The sequence below is a fragment of the Homo sapiens genome, chromosome Y (genome assembly GCF_000001405.40).
Source record: "Homo sapiens chromosome Y, GRCh38.p14 Primary Assembly".
Lineage (NCBI taxonomy): Eukaryota > Metazoa > Chordata > Mammalia > Primates > Hominidae > Homo > Homo sapiens.
The window spans coordinates 25716405-25728489 of record NC_000024.10 but is presented as its reverse complement, the minus strand read 5'-3'; the positions used below and the strand labels follow the sequence as shown (position 1 = coordinate 25728489).

Genomic DNA, 12085 nt, shown 5'->3' with positions numbered 1-12085 from the left:
TTAAAGAGGTGCAGCAGTAATGCAGAAATGGGATTAATCTAAATATGCTTCTCTTGTACTTTCTAAGGAACAGAAATTCCAAAATCTAAGTCTAGGCCAGAAGAGAAACATAGACTGCAAATAACAATAGTCCATATAGGAAGACACATGACATAGTTGGATTACAATATACCAATATCAGTAGCCCTGATAGTGTATTTATAGGTCTTGACTAATGTAGACTGCATTTTGCATTCATGGTGTTCAATGCTAATGCTTATATACTATAAAAAGATAAAAACATAGTATATTGTAACCGGTTCAAACAAATGAATTGCTGATCCTCACACTATGCAACACACTTCATATCCTACTGTTTCCAACAGGGGCATAGAGATATTACATCAAATAAAAAATTATATTAATTATTTAAAATCAGAAGGCACTTTTATCTTCAGTAAACCCTACATCTAATGACAAAAGCTTTAAAATAATATAGAAATAAACTAGGAGACTTACTGCTTTCAAGGAAAATTGTGACTGGCTAGCAAAACAGTCAGAAATCTTGGCACAATGGTGCTTCAAAGTACTGTGGATTCTGATAATATGCACTTTACTGGAATTAGGTGAAGCAAATTTTAGAAGCATCCCTTAGTAAATTCTACCACAAAAGTGCCCCCAGCACAAAAAAATACAACTTCCCATGCTCCAAACATTGTGACATATGAAAAGTATGTATATTGGTTGTAATATTTAAGAATTCCTATTAAAAATATGGCAATATCTTTATCTCAGCAAGAAATTAAGCTATCAAACATTAAAGGTGAAGAATGTGTAGAATTAAAATCTGCTTGTTTTTTACATTTTTACCCTGTCTTTGATTGTTTCTGGCATAAAAAAATAAGGTTTCTGAGAAATAGAGCTGTTACTCTGGACAACTGCTGTAATTTAGGTAATTCCAATTTTTGGCTACATGAACTTGGTGAGAAGTCATGCTAAATGTTATAGCACACTAAAATCTTTTAAATGATTAACCTGGCTGGGTGCCATGACTCAAAATAATCCCAGCACTTTGAGAGGCTGAGGAGGGTGGATCGTGAGGTCAGGAGATCCAGACCACCCTGGCTAACAAGGTGAAACCTTGTCTCTACCAAAAATACAGAATTAACCAGGTGTGGTGGCACATGACTGTAATCCCAGCTACTTGGGAGGCTGAGGCAGGAGAATCGATTGAACTCCTGGGGTGGAAGTTGCAGTGAGCCAAAATCACAACCATTGCACTCCAGCCGAGGCAACAAGAGTGAAACACCATCAAAAAAAAAAAAAAAAAAAAGGAAAGAAAGAAAGGAAAGAAGAGAGGAAGAAAAGAAAGAGAAAAAACAAAGGAAGAAAGAAAGGAAGAAAGAAAACAAAGAAAGAAAGAAAGAAAAAGAGAGAAAGAAAGAAAGAAAAAGAGAAAGAAAGAGAAAGAAAAAAGGTAAGAAAAGAAAAGAGAAGACTGCATTACTCTTGTTGTGGCTAATCTTCCCAGAAAATTTTAACAAAAATATTCGTTTTAACTTAGAAGTGTTCATAAATGGTATTTATTTATATTTTGATCAGTATTTGTTTTTTAGTAAACTTTGTATTAAAGCCCGTAAAATGGTTAATTTTTACTGTCTCTGCATTTTGAGAAAGAATAAATAAATTACTTTATGCTCTTCTTGAAATCTCACAAATTTTTATGAACTAGGACAAGGTAGTACCTATTGACAAAGAAAATGTCACAAGGGTAAAATAAAACATGACCACACTTAAAGTATTCTTCTTCTGGGCCGGGCGCGGTGGCTCACGCCTGTAATCCCAGCACTTTGGGAGGCCGAGGCGGGCGGATCACGAGGTCAGGAGATCGAGACCATCCCGGCTAAAACGGTGAAACCCCGTCTCTACTAAAAATACAAAAAATTAGCCGGGCGTAGTGGCGGGCGCCTGTAGTCCCAGCTACTTGGGAGGCTGAGGCAGGAGAATGGCGTGAACCCGGGAGGCGGAGCTTGCAGTGAGCCGAGATCCCGCCACTGCACTCCAGCCTGGGCGACAGAGCGAGACTCCGTCTCAAAAAAAAAAAAAAAAAAAAAAAAAGTATTCTTCTTCTGATCATCTTGCCAAAGCTGTCCTAGATAATTCTTTCCTTTTTTTTTTCTAGTAGGTGCTTGATACAATTTTTTTATTAGACTTTAAGTTTTAGGCTACATGTGCACAATGTGAAGGTTAGTTACATACGTATACATGTGCCATGTTGGTGTGCTGCACCCATTAGCTTGTCATTTAACATTAGGTATATCTCCAAATGCTATGCCTCCCCACTCACCCCATCCCACAACAGTCCCCAGTGTATGATGTTCCCCTTCCTGTGTCCATGTGTTCTCATTGTTCAATTCATACCTATGAGTGAGAATATGCAGTGTTTGGTTTTTTGTCCTTACGATAGTTTGCTGAGAATGATGATTTCCAGCTTCATCCATGTCCCTACAAAGGACATGAATTCATCAGGTTTTAGGGCTGCATAGTATTCCATGGTGTATATGTGCCACATTTTCTTAATCTAGTCTATCATTGTTGGATATTTGGCTTGGTTCCAAGTCTTTGCTGTTGTGAGTAGTGCCACAATAAACATACATGTGAATGTGTCTTTAAAGAAGCAAGATTTATAATCTTTTGGGTATATACCCAGTAATGGGATGCCTGGGTCAAATGATATTTCTAGTTCTAGATCCCTGAGGAACTGCCACACTGACTTCCACAATGGTTGAACTAGTTTACAGTCCCACCAACACTGTAAAAGTGTTCCTACTTCTCCACATCCTCTCCAGCACCTGTTGTTTCCTGACTTTTTAATCATTGCCATTCTAACTGGTGTGAGATGATATCTCATTGTGGTTTTGATTTGCATTTCTCTGATAGCCAGTGATGATGAACATTTTTTCATGTGTCTTTTGGCTGCATAAATGTCTTCTTTTGAGAAGAGTCTGTTCATATCTTTTGCCCACTTTTTGATGGTTTTTTTTTTTCTTGTAAATGTGTTGGAGTTCATTATAGATTCTGGATATTAGCCCTTTGTCAGATGAGTAGATTGCAAAAATTTTCTCCCATTCTGTAGGTTGCCTGTTCACTCTGATGGTACTTTCTTTTGCTGTGCAGAAGCTCTTGAGTTGAATTAGATCCCATTTGTTAATTCTGGCTTTTGTTGCCATTGCTTTTGGTGTTTTAGACATGAAGTCCTTGCACATGCCTATGTCCTGAATGGTATTGCCTAGGTTTTCTTCTAGGGATTTTATGGTTTTAGGTATGACATTTAAGTCTTTAATCCATCTTGAATTAATTTTTATATAAGGTGTAAGGAAGCATCCAGTTTCAGCTTTCTACATAGCCTGTTTTCACAGGACCATTTATTAAATAGGGAATCCTTTCCCTATTTCTTATTTTTGTCAGGTTTGTCAAAGATCAGATAATTGTAGATATGTGGCATTATTTCTGAGGGCTCTGTTCTGTTCCATTGGTCTATATCTCTGTTTTGGTACCAATACCATGCTGTTTTGGTTACTGTAGCCTTGTACTATAGTTTGAAGTCAGGTAGTGTGATGCCTCCAGCTTTGTTCTTTTGGCTTAGGATTGACTTGGCAATGCACGCTCTTTCTTGGTTCCATATGAACTTTAAAGTAGTTTTTCCAAATTATTTGAAGAAAGTCATTTGTAGCTTGATGGGGATGGCATTGAATCTATAAATTGCCTTAGGCAGTATGGCCATTTTCATGATACTGATTCTTCCTACCCATGAGCATGGAAGGTTCTTCTATTTGTTTGTAACCTCTTATTTCATTGAGCAGTGGTTTGTAGTTCTCCTTGTAGAGGACCTCCACGTCCATTGTAAGCTGGATTCCTAGGTATTTTATTCTCTTTGAAGCAATTGTGAATGGGAGTTCACTCATGATTTGGCCCTATGTCTGTTATTGGTGTATAAGAATGCTTGTGATTTTTGCACATTGATTGTGTATCCTGAGACTCTGCTGAAGTTGCCTATCAGCTTAAGGAGATTTGGGGCTGAGACAATGGGGTTTTGTAGATATGCAATCATGTCATCTGCAAACAGGGACAATTTGACTTCCTCTTTTCCTAATTGAATACCCTTTATTTCTTTCAATAACTTCTTTTTCTTAATTTGAAGTCACAGCTGATATGTTACCAAATATGTAAGGAAATAAAATTGAAGACCATATAAGTAAAGATCAAAATGAGTTTGAAAAAGAAAAATAAAAATTTATGTATGTATGTATTTATTTATTTTTACCTGTTCATACATAAATCCTGTTGGATGAGGACATAATGTGGCATCTTCTGTTGAAGAGGACTTATGCTCATCTAAGGAATCTTGATTATCTGGCTTCAAATTCAAAATATTTAAAAAGATTGACAATTTTATTATGAAAGTAACTTTATACCTTATATTTAATTTTCTTCATTTAGAATAAACTTCTAAGAAATGCAAAAAAGCTGGCATCTTTAACATCTTCACAACTCCTGCAAATGATGTATAAGTCAGGGAAAAATCTGAATTATTCTAGCTGTGTAATTTCTAGACCATTTCACATCAGTCATTTCCAAAAGAAAACCTACTTTTTAAGGTCAAAGAAACCAATGTTAACCATTTAATAAAATAAATATTTTTAAGGGAAATATTAATACATAAACATTGGCTTACACATTTAAAAATGACTTCTCTTTTTCCCAGATTTATCTGCTTCCTTTGGGTGCTTCCCCTCGTCCCCTCATGTGGACTCAGTTTGCAAGGTTTTGCAAGTGTCATCCTAACACTATTTGATCTGCCTAAGACATAACCATTTGATGTTTTATTGTTTTGTGCTGGAGACCAACTTTTGTAGGCATACTGAATTGTTTCCAGTACATGGTCTAGTTTCAAGTTTCTATATCCACTAAACAAGTCAATTTTCTTTTCTTTTCTTTTCTGTTTCTTTTCCACGTGAAAGCGCAAACACAGTCCTTCATTTCCATAAATTATGCAGTTGAGTTTCCCACAATTTTGTAAATCTCAGGGGTCGGCACATCCATAGTGCAATAGATCAGTCTTGCCCTGGGAAGTTGGATTCCTAGGTATCTCCCCTGTCAGGGAAGTATCCATTTTCTTTTTAAGACTTCCATTATCCTTTGAAAGAAAATACAACTATAAATGTAATAGAAGTTAGAATAACTTTCAGTATCAGCTTAAAATGTCAATTTCAATCATCCATGATTATCCTCTTCTATAAAAGTTCTTAACTCTGACACAGGCTTCCACAAAATTGTAAGAAAAAACACTACGGTAAACAATGAAACAACCGTTAAATAAAACTACCATACATTTTACACACTGATATGCTCATTTTTGATAATGACTCTTAGAGTGTTCTATTGTATCTAACAGTCATTTTCGCTCTGCTGGAATTTTATTATATGCACTATGAGCTTTAAAATAAGCAGATGAAAATAATCTGTAATATCTAGTAGTAGCTAATATTTTATTGCCTAATATGTGCCTAATATTTTATTGCCTAATATGTGCTAATATTTTATTGCCTATTATGTAACAAGTTTTTGAGGTAATCTAATTAATATCAGAGTTAGTTCCCTAAGAGGGTAGCACTAGTAAATCCATTTAACAAATAAAAAAATCAATTACTGTTAGGAGAAATACTTTGCCAAATGTTACATATTTAGCCAGTTGAGGAGCTAGCAATCTGACTAAAACATCTGATCTCTTGGCATGTTACTAATTTAAAATGTTTTGGCTAAATATACTATCCATGCATTATTAAAAGTGAATTAAAAACAGTCAGGCTTTATTACTTTTCATAGTTCTATTTTTTATTCTACACATAGGATTATGCTCTGTGGCCCAGGCTGGACTACAGTGGCATGATGATAGCTCATAGCTCAATGAGGTCTCACACTCCAGGGTTCAAGGAATACTCCTGCCTGAGCCTTCCAACTACTTGGGATTAGAGAAATGCCTCACCATATTCACTCACCTCATTATTTTTATTAAAGAGGAATAGCCTTTTAAGACTAACTTTTTGAATAAAAAAGAAAAACTTGTTTGGTAGTCACTCATTTTTCAGAGACAACATTTAAGAATGTAAAGCAAGAATCCCATGATGATAGAACAGCAATATAAATTGGCAGTAGAAAATTGATTTCAATTCTAATAGTGTAAGAACACACACATGATGGCTAAAGCAATTTTCAATGGCAACAATAAAATTTTCCTGATTTGCTAATAATCAGTCATTTTTCTTCTAGGTCTGGCTAAATTGCAACATATTGACACTGAAAATTGTTTACTCTTCTTAAGAGTCAATATTAAAAATGCAAAAAATAGAGACTTCTACCTTTTTTGTCATTACCATGAAAGATAAATAAAATTGTTTTTTTCTCTCTACCATGTGTCTTACTTAATATAGTAATATTATATTCCAAGTCAGAAGCTATGTTTTTTTTTTTTTGCCATAGGAGCATTTATAATATAAATTTCTTTTGAAAAAGGTAATTTGTGTAATCTAATTATTTCAGGTAAGGAATAACATGGATAGACTTCTTGTAACACTGACAGTACATATTTCATTGTATTATTCTCTTAAAAATTATAATAAAGTGAAAATCAAGTCATTTGCCACATTATCAATAGTATCATTTGTTTTCACGTGCAATTTGGATTAATATTATCTTTGCCTATATTGTTATCTGCTGCCTTGAACAGTGGTTGGTACATAGCAGATGTTGATATATATCTGTTGATATATATCTGAATAACGCCTATTGAATAGACTAAATATTCATTACACAAAACATTTCAAGCTAATCTTAATAAGGAGAATACTAAATTCTTGCAAAAAACCCACATTAATCTACATTCACTGTTTTCCACATTAACCCAACATGTATAATTTTACTGTAATCACTTCCTTGAATGAGATGAGGTTAAGATGTGATTTAGCCTTACTTTAGAGCAAATAAAAGAAGTTACATAGTAAACAATATATGACTACAAACTATTTTTTAAATGGTATAAATTAAACCCCATTGATAGAGACTCTTAATGTCGTTTTACAACATTAATTAATCTGCTTGAAATCTATGATGGTGGACCAAAGAACAATTAGAAAAATTTAATTGTTAAAATCTAACATTTTCAGTTGTTTAAAATTTAAGATTATGATTTGGCTTTAATCATCGTGTTCTACAACTTTATAATACCTTTAGTTTATTATCAGGTTTTCAGTATGCTTATTATAATGTCTATTGAGTGAAAATCAGGTTTTTTAGTATGCTTATTATAATGTCTATTGAGTGAAAATTGTGTATGATTTTGTGTTTGGGGGGGCGTGTGTGTATAGAGTTTCCAGTTATATACTATGATTTGTTTCTACAATCCTATAACAATAAAACTTTTAATCTCCTAGCAGAGTTGGGTAACTAATTCTGGTCAATCTTAGTCTTATTTTACTGCAGATGACACAGCTAAGAATTCTAGAAGAAGGCTAAAGATCTGTCTTGAGTGTAACCACAGTTTTTTAAAATTATAATTTTTCTCAAAACCAATTTGGCCAAGGTTGTGAAACCCCATCTCTTCTAAAAATATAAAATTATCCAGGTGTGGTGGTGGACACTTGTAATCCCAGCTACTCAGGAGGGTGACACACAGAATTGCTTGAACCCAGGAAGCGGAGGTTTCAGTGAGCCGAGATTGCGTTCCTGCCCTCCAGTCTGGGTGACAGAGTGAGACTCCCTCAAAAAAACAAACAAACAAACAAAAACTCTCCTTCTTACATACAAGTTAAACTAACTACTTATAGAGGCTATGGATTGTTTTTGGATAACTTAATGTTATCTACCATGATAACATTAACTTTTTTTAAAAAAGTTTCCATTCAATGACATTCCTTTCTATGACTTTTTTTCATTGTTACATCTGTAGTAACACATGTATTGTTTTAGATGATTCCAAATTCTGGACATAGGTATCCAACTCCCCATTACAATTTTCTATTTGATCTCCCATATGCTTCTAAATCACAATCCGCTCAGATTCTTTTCTTTCTATCAGTAAATTGCATTACTATTCCCTCAGCATATCAAATCACACAAGAGACATAGGTGTTAACATCTCTTTCCTATTCCACTTCCTCAAATATCCAATTACCAACACCTACCTATTGTAACTCATAAAGAGCTCGTGAATCTGTCCACACATATGTTCCACATTGCCAGTTTTTCTTTTTTATTATACTTTAAGTTTTAGGGTACTTGTGCACAATGTGCAGGTTAGTTACATAATACAGAGTACCCACAATCTTTTTCTACACATAATTTTGAATACTTTCTTACTGTGGTTTATTGTGAAACTTTCTATGCTATAGCCAGTGAGATGTTACTAATTTATGCCTTTTGTGATCCTCTAATGGTTTATCAAGTCACACTGAATATCGCACATAATTGCTAAAAAGTCAAGTTATGTCAATACTAAGTCTGTACCAACTAGCTATTTAGAAAAAAAAAAGCTTAACAAAGCAAGTATTTTTTACTGCAAGATGCTTTTTACCTCCAAATCTAAGTCATATACTCCCTACAACAGGCAGCAGGTCACTTTGTATTTTTCTTGTTTATTATGAAGCTTTGTATCCCACCTGGGCTGTTTATTCAGTACTGTATTTTCAAAATCATAATTAAGACAGATTCAAAACACTTTATCTGAAATTCAAAATGCTCAATTAAGCAAGGCTTTTAAAAATAAGGTTGGTATGTAATTTGATTTCTGATGTAATAAAGACTTAATTGAGGGAAGCTATTAAGTCTTCATTCATGTACCCTTCATCCTTAAAGGGAATATTCATTTCTCTTCATAGAAACATTAGTATGTTTGATTCTTGGGTACCTTTGGGGCCTCACAAGGAATAGTACACAATGTGTTGCAAATGTGTTGACTCAGTTTCCTCAAATTCAAAAATTCCTAAAACCTAAAACACACTGCCTAAATGCCTTCAGATGTATAAATGTATAATGAATCTTGTCAATTAAAATTACACTTAGGTTATATTATAAACCAATCATGTGTTGTGTATGAGCCACTGAAATCTCAAGTTAAATTGTGCAAAACAAATTTTTTTTGAGTTCTTAAGTTTTATATTTTTACATTTAAAATAAATATTGTATTTATATTTGAATATATGCTCCTACTCTACTAAAAGTATCCCAGCATCTCAGATGTAGTCAGGCAAGGATGAGAAAAAAGAAAGCACAGAGATGATCAGAGCAGGAAGAGTAAAGGGTCAAATTTGTTTCCTCTTGAAGGTAAATAAAATAACACTTTCATTACAGGAATGTGTGACCATAGAACTTAGTTTTGATAGTAAAATGTTTGTGACTTTAACAAGTTACATGAAGTGAAATCCTAATTGTCTGAGTCAATCATTCATATGTGTGACATAATATTTATCAACATCACATATAAATGTAAAATTTAATAGTAATTAAATTTTAACTATATCCATAAATTAGTAACTTTGAAATGTTGCCCTAACACTGAAAACAGTACAAATATTTTTGTTTTACATTTTTGACAATCTATCAATGCCTTTAGTACTACTGTGCAATAGGTTGATGTGAGAAAAATCAGGCTACCCTAAGAGAGATTTAGTGAAAATCACATTTCTTAATTTATGTTAACATCAACAAAAAATTTAAGTAAATTATTTATTTACATTGTAACTGTTTATTTTACTTTATTTTAACAAAAACACACATACGTTCTAAAAGTTTCTCATAGAAGACATTTTTAAAACTGACAAACAAAATGACCAGTTGAGATCCCTTAAGGATATAGATTCCTTTTCCAAGTTCTAGAAATTCTGATTTAGATAGTGTGGCATATGACCTGGAAGCCAGTAGTTTTCAAAAAGCAATACTAAGAGATAACGTCTGCTGGGCACAGTGACTCAAGTCCGTGATCACAGCACTTTGAGAGGACGAGATGTGCAGATCACAAGGTCAGGAGAGAGACCATCTTGGCCAATATATATATTAGCCAGGCATGGTGGCATGCCTGTAGTCCCAGCTTTTAGGGAGGCTGAGGCTGAGGAATCACTTGAACATGGGAGGTGGAGGTTGCAGTGAGCCAAGATCTTGCCCCTGCACTCCAGCCTAGCCACAGAGCTAGTCTCCATCTAAAAAAAAAAAAAAAAAAAAAAGAGAGAGAGAGAGAGAAAGACAACATCAATCAGGTACAATATCTAAACTTAAAGATTACCAGAAAAATGAAACAAGTGCATAAATAACCTGAGAATACATGAAATACATTAAAGTTACACAGATTTGGGATGCATTTATATATATTTATATGTATATGTATGTATGTATATGGAATATTGCTTGTACTTTAGGATGCTTTACATATTATAATGATTAAAATGTGCTTCTCATTTAATATTTTAAAATAAAAACCTAATTGACATAAAATTATGAAAATATCTTACCTAAACTGGCATATGTTACAAACAGTTAAATATATTTCTGTAAATATAATAGCTATGCTCTGTATATTTTCTTCTCAGGAGATTAAATACTCCTCTTAGTAACTGATCACCCTTGTTCAAGTTGTTACATTTCTGTGAAAAATAAGTATTCATTGGTGTAATAGAATCAAGATTACAAAACAGCTTCTATTTGAATAAAGAGTCCTGTTCTTATAAAGAGCAAACATCTCACACAGAAAATTATTAAATACAAATTCCTATTTGAGAGAGAAAATAAAGAGCTTTGGTAAATTTTTTTGTAGATTTTGTATGCTGTTCTAATTAAAATAACAACAACACTTCCACAACTTCAACAGAATAATTAAAGTCATTTAATTATTCGTATTATCACTAATTTTAATTTTATGTTACAGTGTTTTTACTAAAATACCCTTCAATTTAATGAAAAGTTAATTTAAAAAAATAAACCTTTGGGATTTCCTTAATAACTGTGAATATTCAATACACAAAATAATTTAATCTTGTTTTTCAGAGGGCCAAGAAATCACTCTTCATTACCATAAAATAACTTTTAAAACTCACAGGTGTTATAATGTTTCTATAATATAAAGCATGCATTTGTGTAAGGCAAATACATCAAATAGAGCCATATAAATTTGCTGATTTGAATTTACAGACAACAGAATTTACTTCTAAGTATATAATTACTCCAAAACAAACAAACAAAGAAAAAAACTAATGGTTGTGCAATTACCTGACTAGAAATTGATGGAACAGGAGCACCTTCATCTTGAACAAATATCACCACTTTAACATCCAACTCTCTTTTTAGCCTCATGCATTTCAAGGAAATCACTTGTCTTCTAACTACAAATAGTAAGCACATTCCTTTCCCTTCAGGTGCAGTAAGATAAGGAAGCTAGAAGCAGACATGGGAAATATGCCTGCAACTCCAGAAAGATGTATGAAAACAGACCCACAGCTCTCTCTGTCAGATAACCACAACAAAGAGACACAGAAGCCGTCCAAGACTCTGACAAACTCTCTGAGACTGAATCTTGAAAATCTCTTAGTCTGTTAAGAGAATGTGGCTCTGACTTAACCTGGCCAGCCACCCCTCTCAGGTTGATTCAAAATAAACCTGTCCTTGTTGACAGTCATGCTGCCCTTTGGGTTTCTCACCTCTTTCTTTAATTTTTACATTTGGTGCTGAAACCCAGGACCAGTGTTGGGGGTAGAGGCCCCGTTGGATCCCAGGAAGCTGTGGGCAGTGGCAGCTTATCCTAAGTTAACTCCTGGATCCTGAGTGTCTCTGGCCACCTGCCCCAACTTTTCTTTCATTTTACTCTTCAAGCAGTTTGTGTGAGAAGGACAAATGACCTGAAGGAAACTGCAAGGCTCAGGCCAGGTCTATAAAACCCTCAAGTCTCAGGAATCCACCCCTAACACTGGCTCCCTCTTTCCTCTTCTCTCTCTCTTCCTCTCTCTCTCCCTTTCTCTCTCTCTCTCTCTCCCTTTGTCTCTCTCTCTCTCTCTCTCTCTCTCTC

General features: G+C 34.1%; 2 pseudogenes; both read right to left on the bottom strand.

Annotated features, from left to right (window-relative positions):
• On the bottom strand, positions 4995–5148 carry RNU1-107P (RNA, U1 small nuclear 107, pseudogene; annotated as a pseudogene).
• On the bottom strand, positions 5342–5500 carry USP9YP30 (USP9Y pseudogene 30; annotated as a pseudogene).